We start from the raw sequence: 18,001 nt of genomic DNA on the forward strand, positions 1-18,001 counted from the left end.
GTTCCTTTTATTCCCTTTTGCAGTGAACATGTAATGCTTTTATAACCAGTTATATTAAAAACACATTAGGTGGCAGAAGACTGGCAAGCATGCTAGCTAGGAAGTCCTTATTAGGAAAGCTGGCATTAGGCATAAACCATCAGTATATTGTGAGTTACCCAGGTGAAAAGGGCATTCAAAGCAATTGTTCATTTCATTTGGAAATATGACGTGTGATATCACTGATGAGTTTTCTAAAGTTATAAATTTTTAAAAAACCCAATTCATTCATATTATGTATTAAATATCTGAATTTTCTATTAACTCATTTAATAGTCCTTTCCTTCAAAAGGGACAGTTTGGTAGAAATAGACAAATTTCAATTGCTGTAGGAGATGGCACAAGCTAGCATGGTGGTATAGAGGTGGGACTCATAAAGCTGGTGTGTGAATCTGAGTGGCAGTCATCGGGGGTGTCTGAATTGGATCTCAAAGGAAAATGCACAAGGCCAGTGAGTTAAGGAAGGACGTTACTATCAAGACATTACTAGCAGCTTTTGAAAAGGCATATAGCAAGGTAAAGCAGTGGTGTGTGTGGTTCAGAGAACCACAATAAAATGACTTGATGAAAACTAAGAAGAAAGGAGAAAATACAGATGAGGTTTATGAAGCTAAAGAGATAAGTCAGGGCAATTCACAGGCCCTATATGCCATAAGGAGGAACCTGGACTTTGACCTCTAGTGGTGCAGAAAACCAAGTAATTTTTAGCAGGGATAAATGATTCTATGATTGTTTTTGATAGATCCTTCTGGCAAGTAGTGTATAGGATAGCTAAGAGGGGAAGGCCCCTCGAGAGTAGTTAGGCACTTATTCGGAGAATCCAGCAGTGACAGTGATAGTGACAAGAGACTGAAGTGAGAGGTGCTAGAGATGGAGGACACACTGAAGACATTTAGTGGACAGGAAGGACAGGGTGTAAGCGATGTAGGAACACAGCTCTCTGCCTTAACTGAGCGGATGCAGCTGTCAACGCAAGATCAGAAGAGTGATGGTGTTAACTCCCCCGGAATATAGGTGAAACAAAAAAGGGCTCAGACCTGGGAAACAAATTTTTAATACAGCGAGGCATTAGGGCAGACCAAAACAGTGATGGCTCTAAGTGCCTGAATTCAAATTTGGGAAGTATGGAAAACACACTGGAGTTTAACTAAAAATAACCAAGAATCTGTAAATATTTCCTATGACGATCCAAAAAACAGTTGATTTACAATTACAAAAGGGGGTGGGGAGACACCATTGCCATCTACAGCAAAGATGCCTGAAATGGTGTGAAATAAAGAACAAGTACATTAAAGGGCTACGGGGGAGGTGGGAGAAAGGAAGGTTGATTTCATAGTTGGAGTCCAACGTGGACCTTGAAATCTCCGGAGAATGTGCATAAGGGATACAAAAGGCATATAATGAATAGGGTGGCTTTCTGTCAAGGACCACAGAGTGTACGCAGTCAGGGAGACAGATATAAAACATAAAATGTAAAAGGTCTGATTTAAATATTGTGGGAGTGACCAACTGCATCAGTTGCAGAGGATTTTGCAGAGGATGCAAAATTTCAGTGAGATCTTTACAGAAAAAGAGGAACGACTCAGTTCCTCTACCTGTTTTGGTCAACAACCCTATCTTCCATTCTACCAGAGCCACCATCTCTAGGAGCTCTAGATGTTTGATCACTAATAAAGTCATTACTTCCAAATTCCCAATTTCAAGTACCCCACTCTTTACCTGCTTCTCCTCTTTCCAGGTTATTCTCTCCAGATCTCCTTTCCCCAAACAATCTTCAATCCCACCAGGCTCATGCCTCACAAGGCCCTTCATGTTTTTATCTTAATCCTTACCTGCTCTGGAGTCCATGGCTCTCCCTCACCATATCTGCCTGGAAAATCCCCAACATTGGTTTTAAATGCAACTCTTCTGCCTAATCTCCACCTGGACATGGAGTATGCTGACTGCTCTCATTTCAAATTTCTGTAATTACAACCCAAGTGGACCCTTCATTCTGGCCAGTAATCTAACATTTTCCTAGTCAATCCACATTCTCATGTCCTGGATGAGGACACATGTTCAAGGTCCTCCTTCATCCTGTCTACTCTTAGTTGTTTTGTTTGGTAATTTCAGTAAGGTAAAATTCACACATCCTGTAATTTACCCACATAAATGTACTATTCAATGGTTTTAGTATATTCACAGAATTGGGCAACTATCACAATCAACTTTAGAACATTTTTATTACCCTAAAAGGAAATCCTGCATCCGTGGGCCATCTCTATTTCCCCAGCTTTCCCCTCATCTGTCCCAGCCCCAAGCAACCACATAATGTTTTCTGTCTCTGTGGGTTTACCTATTAACATTCTGTATAAATGGAATCATAAAATATGTGGTCCTGTGTGACTGACTTTTGCTTGGCGTATCTTCTCAAGGTTCATCCATGTTGCATGTTTAAGTCCTTCATTTTTTATTACTAATATTCCGTGATATGAATATACCATATTTTAGTTACCCTAGTTGGCTTATCATTTTTTTAAAAAGGTCTTTAGAAAAAGACTTTTTCATCCACCCACATGCCACCAAATCTACCAATTTACCTGCACCTGAATCCACATTACTCCTACTGTCTGTGACTGTCCGTGCTCCAATGGTTACACCTGTTATTTGTACCCTGGATCTGTCCCCTCTCACCTACATAACAACCGAGCACATAGCCCTTCTTGCTTGCACCAACATTCTCCCCTCTACTGGGCTTCCCAATCATAAGTATGCTGTAGTTTTTGCCCATCTTTCAGAAACAAGAACAAAAATTAAAAACTCCCTCACCCTGCATCTCCTTTCAGGTATCACCCCATCTTGTTTTTCTCCTCTATAGCAAATCTCCTGAGATGTTCAAAATCCTAATTGTATCCTTCATCTCCCAGTCTCTCACAACCCTATGTAACTGGGCTTTTGAACTCATCAATCCAATGAAAGCACTTTTCTCACAGTCACCAGGAGCCTTCATTTTGCTAAATCCAGCTGCCAAGTCGCAGCGCTCTTTCTTGATCCATCAGTGTCATCTGATAGTTCACCTCTCTCCCCCTCTTTCCTGCCTAGAAACTCTACTTGGCTTTCAGATTATCTCCCTCTACATTTTTATCCTAGCCCACGGGCTGTACCTTCTCAGCATCCTTTGCTGGAGAGTACAGTATAGATAGTGGTCAAAAGCACAGGCTCCTGTTGGAGTGGGGCTACCTTGAATTCTAACACGGCTACTTGTAGCTATGTGACCCTTGGAAGGTTATTTCATCTCCAAGTGCTTCAGTCTCCCCATCTATAAAATGAAGATAACCCTGAGGGCTGCAAGGGTTAAATGATTAATATACACAAACTGCTTAAGAGTTTCTGGCACGTGGAACTATGTCTACCTTAGTCTCACAGCATCATATTCTTAGCTGCCAAATGCTGAAGAATTTTGTCCTCAGACCTCTCACCACTTCTCTATTTACATTTTCTCCTTAGGTAATCTCACAGGCTCCTGCGGCTTTAAATATTATCTTTATCTGCTGAAGATGCCAGAATTTGCAGCTCTATTAGATGTTACCAGTAGTTTACTTGACATCTGTACCTGGGTATCAAAGTTAGAATATCCAACATTTTAATTTGATAGGCTCCCCTCAAACCCACTCCTACAGATTTGCGCATCACAGGAATGGCAATTACATCTACCAGTTGCTCACATAAAAAACGAGTCATTCTTGACTCTTTTTCGCATTCCGTATTTAAGTAATATGGCAATTCTGAAGGCTCTATCTTCAAAATATCTTCAGACTCTAACCACTTATCACCTCCATTGCACCAGCCCAACGTGGGCTAGCTCCCATCTCATCTGCTGCAACAGCATCAGAACCGGTCTCCTTTCCACTCTTACCAACTTCTAGAGTCTGTTTCTCTAACAGCCACAGTAATACTTTAAAAACTGCACATCAGATCATGGCATGGATAAAAGACTCTACACCATTTCCCACTGCACTCAAAGCCTAGTGCTCAACAACCTTCTCTAAGCTCATCTCCTGCCACTTTCTTCCCTTTGCTCTCCCTTCCTGCTGTGGTCCTTCAACAATCCATGCCCCATCTCAATTCAGGCCCCCTTTCCTTTGGTCCTCACTCTACATTCCTTTCCTCTGTATTTACATGGGGATATTCTCTTCATTACTGGTTCAGATGCCTTCCCTAGCAATCGTATTTAAAATTGTACATATCCGTGTTACACCCTTATACTGCCTAACTGTCCTGTTTTACTCTCCATGTTAAATTATTAGCCCAGGTCTGCGAAAATATAAACTCCAGAAAGACAGGTTTTGTTTTGTTCATTCTGGTATTTCTAGTATACCTAGAAGGGTGCCTGGCACACAATGGTTATTGATTAGATATTTATTGAACATATGAGTGAATGGTGTTTGCAGAGGTGATGACCAAACTCATCAAGGAGAAGATACCTCTCAGGGAATTAAGAATAGAGGCTACAAGCTCCAGGTCTTTTCCCAGGGTGGTAAGAATCTTCCCAGCATAAACCTAGGAGGACTTGAACTTTGAGAAAGGATGTTTTCTTTCAACCTCCTTTTCTGTTCTTTGTTGCAGTTCCACCGTTTTGATTTGATCTCTACAGAATGAGTGTCACTGTGGCACTTTGCATGAACTAAACATGAACTTTTCCCACATGAAGAAAAAGATGTATCAACCACTCATCTCTTTCATCAATACCTGAAGATCCCTAAGCATATATCCCTAGGTTTTTTTTTTAATCAGCAAGTATTATCCTTTTTCCATTTCAGACCTGCAGAAAACTGAAATAACAGTACAACCAACATGTTATTTCCTTTGCATAGATTCACCAATAACATTTAGGCCTATTTATTCTGAAAACACTCCTGGGTTATTCTTATAGAAGGCACTATGTTCTGAGAGCTGCGGAAAATGGAAGAATAAGGAGCCAATTTTCAAAGAATGAGAAAAAGCATCTTTCAGATTGTATTATACATTAAGATTATATTTTAAAAATGATGCTTAGAATGTTAGCAAGAGATTCTTAAGAGAAATTTGAGTTTTCAATAATATATAATGCAGATATACTGAGATGTGACTCATCTATTTTTGGCATAAGGGTATATTTTGATAACATCTAATACATGAAAAACAGAATTATAAGTGAAATTGGAGAATGATTACCTTTTTTAAATGCTTGGTTTTTTCAAAATAATGTACAGTAGGCTCTGCATGGTCAACTTCCTACAGATTTGCTTTTTGGAATTTCAGTTAGCATAATAATAATTACTTAAGTATGTTACTATAATTGACAAAGTGCAATAGCTATGAGTTAAAATTTCACTATTAGAGTCAATAAACTTGAAATCTAAAGTTAACTTTCTATCACTGAATGAGATTATCTGTAGGCAATTTTATTTTCAATATTAGCCGGAAAAAAATCTTACCTGAAATTCTTTACAGCAATTAACTTTGTCTACCAAAATCAATCTAGAGCCCAGAGTTACTGCCCCTCCCACCTTCCTCAAGATGTCCCTCAGAGAGATTTACATTTAAGCCATTCTTCAGACTTGCACTCTGGAGCAGCCTAACAAGTGACAGCCCAGGAGAAATGGAGACAATGTGTTAAAACATTTCAAGGTTTTCTGCAAGACTTTCTCCATGTTTCATTTGAAGTGCTTTGCCTTGGGAGAAACTATGGTGTGTTCATGTGTAAATTCATATCCACGCCAAGTATTTGTTCTAGATTAATCACTATTTTGCATTATCCACTGTATCCAATGAACAAGGTTATATACTAAGTTGAAGGTACTGTAATTCGTATTTAAGAACCATTTCTACTATATAACACTAGTGGAATAACATTAATACAATAATTAGAGTACCAATTCAAATATTTTAAAGCTTTCAAAGAAGAACACTTTTATAGGATAAGTAAACAGGCTTTTTGGGTACCAAATTAAATACCTGATATATCACTCTAGCTTATAATTTAATGTAACCAAACATCAAAATTCAAACAAAATTAAAACACAAAAATTGTTTTTTAAAAAATTACGTATTATGTTAGTACTTTGAAAACTCTACTTTCTAGAATTTTCTTCAGGCTTCCTTTTAATGTCAGTGGCTAACTAGTGCATTACTAGTAGACTGGTGCTTTAATATTCTAGTAAGTGTTGCTAAAAATGAGCTACTAAAAAATCTAAAATTCTAGACAGAAACTGGGCAAAGAAATCCAAACTTAAGTGAAATCATCAAAATCAAATTCCTATTGATATTGCTGGCAAAGTTATTCATCTTTTAGGCAGTTTCAGGGATCATAACGATAGCATAAAAACATTTGCGCTTGTTTAAATATAATTCACAAACCAATTCTGTCCCCACAATTTCCTGAGGTGTCCAAATCTGGAATCATCAACTCAAATGTCTACTGAAGCCATGCCAGGACTGCAGCGCAGCACACCACTGCCTAGTAATTTAGCCACAGGCCACCAACTTGTTACTCTTGCTTTAAAACCTTTGGTAACAAAAATTACAAGTAGGAAGTGATCTTACAAATACTCAACTCTTATTTATAAATTTTACCATCAGCTACAGTAGTGTGACAAAAACTGGTGGTAATCTCTTCATATTGATAATTAATGAATAAACATACTTGTCAAGAGGCTTTAATTTTCCATAAAAGGAATGAGTTCGACCTAGAACAGTTTTTGCTTGAAAAGATATTTTGGATATACTGGTAACACAGTACAGATAGGTAACACAAACAAACATTTTTTTGTGTATTCTTTTTTATTGTTTGGAACACCAAAGTAACCCAAACTTTACATTTACAATGAACTTTTTAATAAAAATAGGTTGTACATATTAGAGATACATGTTATACAAAAGTTTTTGAAAAGTAAAACACAAACACTTATACAGTAAAGAGAATGAACTGAATTGCTATCATTTGTAATATTCCTTCTCTCCTAAGTGACCAACAACTGTAGAATGTTACCTTTAGCTTTTATGAAACTACCACCACTGTAGCTATTTGGGTGTGTGAGATTTCTTTAAAATCAAGTAATAATTATTGCGCATCAAGTAATTTTATATTTTCAGATTATCAGTATTACTAAAAGAATCAAAATCTCTAAAAGTTGGTTTTATTCCCTCCAAATTCAGTAGTACAACTCAACTAATTACTCCCAAACTAACACCCGCACTTAAGTCTGATGATACAACCAAACCATCCTTAAGGCACCCACTGCCTCTTTCCAGTATAATCAGGCTTCACTACAGAATTTTTGGAGACCCACTGAACAACTGTTTGGTGCCTAGTACTTTAAAAATATTGCCACATTTCACAAATTAAGATCCAAGAACTCAGTTAAGTCTCGCTCACTGGAAAAACTACAGATATCTAGTAGGTGTGCTATTTATCACTAAACTGACACATTTTCTCATTAAGCCAACTGATGGAACTTTAATATGTGTAAATTTATGATCTAATCTATCTCGAAAATATCTGAGGCAACTATGTCAAGATAAATTTTTTCCTAAAAAGTAGGCCAGGTGCGGTGGCTCACGAGGTCAAGAGATCAAGACCATCCTGGCCAACATGGTGAAACCCTGTCTCTACTAAAAATAGAAAAATCAGCTGGGCGTGGTGGCACGCGCCTGTAGTCCCAGCTACTTGGAAGGCTGAGGCACGAGAATCGCTTGAACTTGGGAGGCGGAGGCTGCAGTGAGATGAGATTGCGCCACTGCACTCCAACCTGGCGACAGAGTGAGACACATCTCAAAAAAAAAAAAAAGTTTGCTTCCTCTGTCTGCCAATATAACAGTTTAAAACGAATCACAGATGAAGTAATGTAATTTTAGAATTGCAAAAGATATTCTTCTCTAGGTCTTATAAATAACATCTATGACATTTCTTACCTGTAATATAAGCACCCACCACTCACTAAGTGCCTGCCCTACAGCAGGCCCCAAAGCAAGTGTTTTATAGATGTTAGCCCATTAAATCATCGTGACACCATTGTGTTTGTCATTTTTCTCCCCCTTTAGAGATGAGAAAACTGAAGTTTAGCATCAACTTCTAGACTTATAGTTTTCTGGTGAGCATAACAATTCCTTTTATTATCTTAAAAGAAAACATTAGAGCACCAAGAGGAAATACCAAAGCATCTTAGTTCTGGGATTCCATCACTTGTTATCCCAACCTAATTACTGATCCTTTAGTACTGCAATACTGCAGTGTGGTCACCACATTCCTTTATCAAAATGATAAAACTGGTTAGTCTTAGATGAACCCTTCTTAACTTGCATACACATTTAAAACTCATTCCTCTATAAGGTCAAAATTCCTGTGATATTCTTTTCAAGACTGCTGACTGAAGGCACATGGAAGGCTTTCTTTCTCATGACTGAACTAACATATTGCATTTTAGTTCAAAGTGCTTATTTTAACAAAATTGTTTTCACTTTTCTTATGTCAAATTCTAAACCCTTCTGGATTTAGAATAGCCTTCAATTTTAAAATTCTGTTTTAGAACGAAGATAATCATCAGAAGTAAAATATGAACAGTCCTGCATTGAAAACCACCCGCTCATGTAACAAATGTTCCCCTCTCATGGGTCCATCTAGTGGGAGGAAGATGGACATGCAAACAGTATGTCAGGTGATGATAAACGCTACGACTGATTCAGAATTTAATTACTTTTCTAGCCATGCCTAGCTTACTATGTTTTTCCAAGCTCACCGACTTCTCATCTGTGTTTGGTTGCACATGTTGGATGCAGAGGTTAAATTGTATGTTCAGTAGTGATAAGAAATAACAGGCAGGGTCTTCAAGACCTAAATGTTAAATCACAGGCAGGCTACTTACTACGCTTCACAGTTGCTTGAAAGCAGTGGTTATTAAACTCCTGGAGTTCATGAGATCTTTTCACTCATTCAATAAATTTATTAAACCCAGTAAAAAACACAAATGCAGCAATTTTACAAATAGTTTCAGGTAGTCTAACATCCATGGACCTTAGATTAGGATTCATAATCAAGGGTGTGTATGTGGGATGTGAAGAAGGGGTTGCTATCCAGATTCTGTGATTCTTGTGCAATCATGTTAATATGAAAAAAAAAAAAGCATAACAAAAAAGATGCAAAGATGTTCCCTGGTTCCTAGTCCAATGTTCCTTCTATGATATGACTTCCATTGGAAGGTAGACCTCTTAAGCAACTTCCTCATTAAACAAATCATTTTCCATCATTATGGTAACTACACTCCTGTATCACTTGTGATAAATTTTAATCCCAAATCCTCTTTTACCATTACCCAATCTGTGTACTAAGGGAAATAAACTCAAGGCTATTATCAGCCTAAGCTTAGTCTAGGGGAGGGCAGAATACAGTATACCATTTAAAAACAAATTGTTTTTTTATTATAAATATAGTACATGCAAAAAATAAAAAATTCCAACAGTACTGAATAGCATAGGTGAAAAGTAAAAGTCCTCCATTACAAACCAATGTCTCACAGTCCTACATCTCAGAGGTAATCAATAGGTTCTTTCCTAAAACAACTCAGATTATGAAAGCAAACAGGCATATGCATATACCTTTGAAAAATACTATGGGCTCACAGGACTAGAACACTGTAATACTCTCAAGATATTAACTTCCAGTTAGGGGATTCAAGTGTTAATTATATTTGGCAATACCACTTCAAATACAACAATTTGTTAATTTAAAAGATGGTCTACTGTAACAAGCATGTGATGTATTTATTCATAACTTAAGCAGGCAAGAGTAAGCCTGCTTAAAGATGTAAAAGATCTAAGTCACATCGCCCTTGATCACAGTATTGAAGTTGTGGGTAAAAAGTACAACAGATAAACTCCAGCCAAGTAAACTGAGAGTGAGTGGGAAAGTGGTACCTCAGGCTGCGCAACTGTTACTTAGAAAACAAAGCCATTTTATTGGAATGTATCAAAGATGATTTCTTTGCTAGCCCACAAAGAACGCTACCCAAGTCCAGGGGTTTCAGATAGATAATAATTGGTCCAGACAGAGAAAAACCTATGCCGTTAAAGAAGTATCTCCTAAAAGCTGGGAAGAGACTAAGGTTAAGTGAATTACGAACTCTGTACCAATTCCTTTGCACAGAGATTACTTTTAATCATTTTTCTATACCAAATAAGGATGTGAAGATCCAAACTTTTATTCAAGACAGACAAACATGATTTTGTCTTTGAGATTCTCTCTTGGTAAAGATCAAGTACACATATTTGACTTTAAGAGGAAGATCTTCCTCAAAAACAAACAAACAAACAAAACAACCAAAAAAGCCAGTCTTGGAAATAATTTTACCAAAATTAACATTGTTTTTTTAAAAAAATCTAACTTGGGGATGGGTGGGGGGGTGGGGGGGGGGTGGGGCAAGGAAAACTAATGATAAAAAAAAATAACTTACCAAGAAGTGAAACAGGCTGGGTTACAGGAGGGGTGGGCAGATTCGTGGGTGCAGCAGGTGGCACGGCAGAGCCATACATTTTCACGCTGTCACCAGACTCGGCGTTTCCTCTAGCCCCAGACACCACTGTTGGAATGGGATTTCCAATAGATAAGTCTTTTGTAGTGTCTTCATTTATACCAGCGATAGTAGCTAAGGAATATAATTATATCAACATGTGAAGCTGAATAATTAATTATCTCCCGGTCAACATTCTTATGCCATACTATAGATCCTATTACCGCTTCACTCTCCCTCCTACACCCAGCTCCAAGAGGATAAGCAAACACAAAGAAAAAAACATGCTTACAGTTTGGGATGCTTATTGGTGGAGTGTGAGGAGGAGGAATGGATACTGGTGGAGTTATAGGAGGTGGGGGTCCAGGAGGCAGAAAACCTAGAATAAGAAAAATAATGTCAACTTATGCTGTATCACTCCATCGCAGGCTCTAAAGTATGTTCACAGACAATTTAGTGTACCTGGTGGTAAATGCATTGGGTTGAATCCTGGGCGCAAAAATGGTGGAGGAGGAGGGGGAGGAGGAACACCAGGACCAAAGCCTGGAGGCGGTATTCCCAGAGGAGGCGTGAAAGCAGGCGGCTGGAGAGCACCAACTACAGGTGGACCCGGTTGATGTGGTGGGACCTAGAAAGAAAGATAAAAGAATAAACCACCTATCTAGACACCCTCCCATCCACACAGTAAGCACAGATAAAAGAGCAAACTGTTGAAAAAATAGATGTTTCTTAATTTGTGCTTATTAGACCAATTTATTAAATAACAGGTGGTAGTTAACTTCTATTCATACCAACTGATAGAAATCAAAGCTGTGGGCCGGGTGTGGTGGCTCACACCTGTAATCCCAGCATTTTGGGAGGCCGAGGCAGGCGGATCACCTAAGGTCAGGAGTTCAAGACCAGCCTGGTCAACATGGCGAAACCCTGTCTGTACTAAAAATACAAAAATTAGCTGGGTGTGGTGGCAAGCACCTGTAATCCCAGCTACTCCGGAGGCTGAGGCAGGAGAATTGCTTGAACTCGGGAGGTGGAGGTTGCAGTGAGCCGAGATTGCACCACTGCACTCCAGCCTGGGCGACAGAGCAAGACTTGGTCTTCAAAAAAAAAAAAAGAAAAAAAAAAAAAAGGAAAGAAAGAAAGAAATCAAAGTTGCGCTCTTCACTTTATGACAGCAATTTCACACTATATTTCACCAGTGTTTATTGGTGTTCTGACATCATGTAATACATTTTAAAATGTTCCATGGTCCTTTCAGCAACACAGCTTTAAGACAGGCTACTTGGCAATTTACACAATGGCTAAGATCACAGGTCCTGGAGCCAAACTGTCTGCTTCTCCCACCCGCTTTAGTTAGCTGTGTGACCTTGAGCAAGCTATTTAAATTCTCTAAAACGGCAAAGTGCCAACCACACATAATTATGCAGATTAAATGAGTTAATACATACTAAGTGCTGGTGCCTGGCACTTAAATACCCAACAAACGTTAGCTATTTTTTTTTTTAAGATAAATTTTAACAACCCCCCCAGCCACGGACCATTACCAGTCTATGGCCTGTTAGGAAACGGGCCACACAGCAGTGGGCAAGCAAGCACCACCTCCTGAGCTCTGCCTTCTGTCAGATCAGCGGCAGCATTAGATTGTCATAGGAGCATGAACCCTGTCGTGAAATGCACATGTCAGGGATCTAGCTTGTGCAGTTCTTATGAGAATCTAACTAATGCCTGATGATCTGAGGTGGAGCAGCTTTATCCTGAAACCATCTTCCACTCCAGTCCATGGAAAAATTGCCTTCCAAGAAACTGGTCCCTGGTGCCGGAAAGGTTGGAGACCACTATCTGAACAGATCAGGCAGCTTTCTGTAAATGAGTGCTGACACACATTGAATTTTGCTTAGAACCTGCACTGGAGGGGCATATCCAGAAGGTCAGCTGAAGAGTTTGCCAACTAGGGGAGTCCATTTAAATCACAGCCAAGAATGTACCAAAGCATACAGTTTTCCCCTCACATTGAGAAAATGAAGACACAATTCACTTTCATGATAGCTCAGATTTATCTGATTCAGATTTAATGTGAGAAACTGAGGAAGGAAGACAAGAAAAATCCAGTAGATCACACATAGAACTATGGGTCAAGTTCTTATAATTTTCAAAGGGTTTTTCATTTTTCGGCCCTTATGACGTGACAAAAAACATACTGAGTACTTAACATATATTATCTCATTTAACCCTCAAAACAACTCTAACACATGAGGAATGCCAAAGCCAGGAAAGGGAATTTGCACATTTACAAATAGGAAACTGAAGCTTATAAGTGAAGTTACATGCCAAATACCATACTGCTGAATATAAACAACAGAGTTGAGAATTAAACCCAGTTCTACCAGAATCTAGTATTGCTTTTCAAGTAACAGGTTGGCTGACTAGACAGCAAATATTTTATAATAAGAACACATCTTCATGTTAAATGGCATTTATTATGAAGTTTTCAATCCATTTAAAAATTTCATAAGGATAGCATCCAAGGTGAAAATTAAGAAAATCCCTGTCCCTCAAAGCAGCAGCTTATTGGGTACATATCCAAGTTTCTTCAGGACACAAAGTCCCTGAAGAATGAAGACTCAGAAAAAAAGTAGGCAGAGCCTATGAAACTTGATACTGAATAATCTGGATGGATAGATGTAAGACAATATACATTTATTTTGGTTGTATAAACATTTATGGGCCAGGCACGGTGGCTCACACCTGTAATCCCAGCACTTTGGGAGGCCAAGGCAGGCAGATCACTTGAGGCCAGGAGTTTGATACGAGCCTGGCCAGCATGGTGAAGCCCCGTCTCTACTAAAAATACAAAAATTAGCCAGGTGTGGTGGCAAATGCCTGTAATCCTGTAATCCCAGCTATTCAGGTGGCTGAGGCAAGAGGGTCGGCTTGAATCTGGGAGGTGGAAGTTGCAGTGAGCCAACATCACCACCACATTCCAGCTTGGGCAACAAAGAGAGACTCTGTCTCAAAAAAAAAAAAAAAAAAAAAAAAAAAAAAAGTGAAGAATATAAAATTTAAATCTGATAAAACATGAAAAATGTAATATGCACATATATGTACTCATGTTTTTTACTATGAATCCAGACATATATCTACAGTAAGATTTAGAAAGGGACCTTTCAGGCACTTAAAGTTTAAGTCATGTCCCAATATTCTCACCTGTGGAGGTGGCACTGTTATAGGTGCAGGAACAGGAATAGGAGGGACAGGCACAGGTAATGGTTTAGGTATGGGTGATACTGGTTCTGTGTGTGAGGTTTCAGCACCTCCATTTTGAGCAACTTCATTTTCAGGCTTCTTAGGAATTCCTTTCCAATCTGTGAGCGTGAAAGAAATTTAACAAGAGTTTACCATTTTCAGTTTGTAACTTTAAATCTAGAAATGAAAAATGTTGATTATAAAAACCTAGCCCAGTTATTAAAGAAATTCCCATGCTAATTTTAGAAATAGTAATTATTTAAATTAACAACAATAGAAACATGTAAAAGAATGCATACTGTGTGCCAGGCACTGTCACAAGCACTCTATTTATACTAGCTTATTTAGTTCTCACAACCATTTACAAGTAGATACTACTATTATTCCCATTTCACAAATGAGAAAAGCAAAGACAGCTTGCCCAAGATCACATTCTTGGTAAATGGCAGGGACGGATTCAACTCAGACACATTTGGTTCTAGAGTCCATGTTCTTAACCACAAGAATGTATTATTTAAAGTATTAGAAATAAAGGATAATGAAACACCCAATATTTCCTGAACACATTTCACTAATATTAAAGAATAACTTAAACTTCCCACCTATTTCCACATATCTTCTAGTCAAGTGAAAACAAAACTGTCTTTCTGCTCCGTCCTCTGAGGCTCTGGCTCCATCAGATTCTCCTATATTCTTGAGCTTTTCAATACATTCTCCACTGGACCATGAGCCCCAAGATTACACCATCTTCTTCTTTTTACCACTGTCTAGCGCCTCCCAGATGTCCAGCACATAGTAGGCCCTCAATACCTGATTGCCTTAACACAAATCTAGCTCTATCCTTAGATGAAGGCTTTGTACATCCAGGGAGGGAGTGGGATGTGGGAATAGTACAGCATTGTTTCATCTCTTTTTGGCTCTGAAACCGTCACTCCTGCTTGAAGCTTCCTTTATTTTATTTTAATTTTTTGAGACAGAGTCTTGCTCTGTCTCCCAGGATGGAGTGCAGTGGCGCAATCTCAACTCACTGCAACCTCTATCTTCTGAGTTCCAGTGATTCTCCAGCCTCAGCGTTCCAAGTAGCTGGGATTACAGACACCCGCCACCACATCCAGCTAATTTTTTTTTTTTTTTTTGTATTTTTAGTAAAGATGGGGTTTTACCATGTTGGCCAGGCTGGTCTCAAACTCCTGACCTCAAGTGACCTGCCTGCCTCAGCATCCCAAAGTGCTCGGATTACAGGCATGAGCCACCGTGCCTGGCCTTGAAGCTTCCTTTAAATGTTCTTTCTGAGGGCGGTGAGGGTGAGCATGGTGGCTCACGCCTGTAATCCCAGCACTTTGGGAGGCTGAGGCAGTAGGCAGATCACCTGAGGTCAGGAGTTCGAGGCCAGCCTAACATGGTGAAACCCCTTCTCTACTAAAAAAAATACCAAAAAAATTAGCATGGCACGGTGGCACGCGCCTGTAGTCCCAGCTACTTGGGAGGCTGAGGCAGGAGAATCACTGGAACCCGGGAGGCACAGGTTGCAGTGAGCCAAGATCATGCCACTGCACTCCAGCCTTAGTGACAGAGCAAGACTCCATCTCAAAACGAAACAAAAACAACAAAAAACATTCTATACTGCCATGCCATCCTATGCTCCTCCTGTTCCTCTGTCTAGCAATCTCCAGGTCATGCCCATGCATTCTGTGATTTTCCCCCCTGCAATCTCACTGTCAATCTGGCATTTTAAATATTTATGCCCACAAATAACTGCAATTCATTGTCTTACACGTTTACTTTAGATTGCTTCTCTGGACATCTAAAACTTTCCAAGGTAATTATCATGAAGCACTGGATTAAAACCCAATACCAGGCCAGGTGCAGTGGCTCACGCCTGTAATGCCAACTCTATGGGAGGTCGAGGTGGGCGGATCATTTGAGGTCAGGAGTTCGAGACCAGCCTGGCCAACATGGTGAAACCCCGTGTCTATTGAAAATGCAAAAATTAGCCGGGCAAGGTGGCACGCGCCTGTAGTCCCAGCTACTCGGGAGACTGAAGGAGGAGAGTGGCTTGAACCTGGGAGGCAGAGGTTGCAGTGACCCAAGATTGCATCACTACACTCCAGCCTGGGCTACAGAGACTCCACCTCAAAAAATAAATAAAAAAAAACATAATACCAAAGATGCTCAGTTAAGACCTATATGATTTATTAAGTTTCACAGGAAAAGTTCTACTTAATTCTGTAATTCATAGATCCCATAATCAGTTAAGTATTTCACTTGTGTTTGCATCTCTTTTGTCTCATTCACTATTTAACCCTCAGTTTATAATGGAGATACTGACACAGGAGGGATCCTAAAAAATCTCAAAAATCACGTCCTAATGCAAGGAACAGGACATTCGATTTGTCATATGTACTACCAAGCAAATAAGTGAACTGTAAGAGAAATTAAATACTGCTTTACCTGGGTTAAGTGTGTCACTGTCCAACATTCCTCCTTCACAAAAACTCTCCAGTTCCTCAGGCTTGACTTTGTCCCATGGAATATAAGTAACACCAAGTTCTACATCCCAATACTGCTTATAATCTGCCTTTATTCCTTTGTTTAAGGCCCAGGCAATCTATTTCACCATTAGTGAAAATATAAAAAGAAAACAAAGCAAGGTCGTAAGTCTTGAGGGTATTATTCTCTATCATTCTATCCATTCCGACTCGGGCACCAAGGGAGCAATCTGGACCAGCTAGGCTTGGATCTCATTCAAAGCCTTATTCTCACTACAGAACTGGTTACCCTTTAATTCTCACTTTGTCCTAGGATGGAAATTTCACTGGCATCTTCTCCTTACCAACTCTCACCCAACCCAGCCAACATAAAACTTAGAGAAAAGGAAAAAGTTTAACAGGGAAAGGCTGAAGTTCCCTGAATAGCCTAGTAGTATACTGGGGACTACTTTTCCAAGTCTAGGGGTGCCTTGTAATTACTTAACATCAGACAAAATCTTTTTGCAGTGCAATCCAGCGGTAGAATGGGGTGTTAAGACACTGAAGAAACACTGACTTTAGCTCCTTAGGGGAAAAATACCCATATACCTATATGTTTTTCTCCACCTTTGGTGAATATTTTTCAGTTAATTCTAAGATGGCAAACTTTAAAAATACAGTATCCAAATTTTTTGAACAGGACAAAACATATTGCTAAAAGACATTATATTTAAAGCACTAATTTACCATGATGAACCCATCTACATTTAGGAAAAACAAAACAAAACAAATTCTACCATGCACGTAACATTTACAATTTTATGCTGAAACACTGGAGTTCTTTTAGGAAATATTCTTTAAAAAAAAAAAAAAAAAAAGATGCACATGAAATGCCTCAGTGTTGAAAGTCATTTCGAAGACCCAAATTAGTTTTTATATGCCACATATTTTTCCCCTTCTGCCTATTTAAAAAAAAAATTAATTATAACATGTAAGACTGTACCTTTATGGATTTCTGGTTCACTTTATAGTTTCCTCGGCTCAGTTTCTGCAGGGCACGATAGGCATCTTGCCTATGAACCATAACAATATAGGCACAACCCCTGGGAGGAATCATCTGCTCCAAAACATTTTAATATTATAAAAGATAACAAAATTGAAAAGCAACAAGATACAACACCAAGTAAGCAGTTCCAACAATCCCATCCCTCACCCCATGCTATATAATGTAAGGTTAAATTCATTTCTAAGTTGGCAATTCAAGTTTGGTCTCAACTGAGTCCTCCAAGCTTTGTTATATAAAGACTTACCTAGAAATGTTTGAAATTAAACTTGGTTATCCAAGAAATGTTAAATACAAAGAATTCTAAGAAATGTTAAATACAGATAATTCTAAACGTGGACTCTGAACACCTAAATTCTAGTCACATCTATAAACCTGGGCAAATTGTAACTTTGGTCTCAGGTCCTCCATTTCATAAAATGACATTAATCACACCTGTCCATCGTACTTAAAAAACTGAATAAACACTCACATTAATTGATTCAATTGGACCAAACTCTTCCAAGAGACTGGCAACATCCTGCTGAGTAGTTCTTTTGTCCAGCTGCCCCACCCAGAGGGTAGTACTGCAAACTTAAAATAAAATTACAATCATAAAGAGATTCACATTTGATAATGAGCAGCACTGTAGCTTACATTAAAAAATCATTACACAAAATATTCATGAA

At 38.8% G+C, this 18,001-nt stretch overlaps 1 protein-coding gene across 9 annotated transcripts in view; it reads right to left on the bottom strand.

Annotated features, from left to right (window-relative positions):
- The window catches only part of SCAF4 (SR-related CTD associated factor 4), a 61,119-nt gene that overhangs the window by 3,544 nt on the left and 39,574 nt on the right, over positions 1 to 18,001 (bottom strand). For 5 of the 9 annotated variants that reach the window (NM_001145444.1, XM_047440931.1, XM_005261017.4 and 2 more), the window contains 7 exons: positions 17,806 to 17,906; positions 17,274 to 17,387; positions 16,254 to 16,410; positions 13,764 to 13,921; positions 11,025 to 11,190; positions 10,855 to 10,941; positions 10,506 to 10,697 (listed from right to left, as the gene is read on the bottom strand). In NM_001145444.1, coding sequence (NP_001138916.1) covers positions 10,506 to 10,697; positions 10,855 to 10,941; positions 11,025 to 11,190; positions 13,764 to 13,921; positions 16,254 to 16,410; positions 17,274 to 17,387; positions 17,806 to 17,906 — 975 coding nt within the window. The remainder of the gene's footprint in view (positions 1 to 10,505; positions 10,698 to 10,854; positions 10,942 to 11,024; positions 11,191 to 13,763; positions 13,922 to 16,253; positions 16,411 to 17,273; positions 17,388 to 17,805; positions 17,907 to 18,001) is intronic. The other 4 variants (XM_047440932.1, XM_017028417.2, XM_006724036.4 and 1 more) reach the window with 1 other exon arrangement.

This window comes from Homo sapiens, chromosome 21, assembly GCF_000001405.40.
Source record: "Homo sapiens chromosome 21, GRCh38.p14 Primary Assembly".
NCBI lineage: Eukaryota > Metazoa > Chordata > Mammalia > Primates > Hominidae > Homo > Homo sapiens.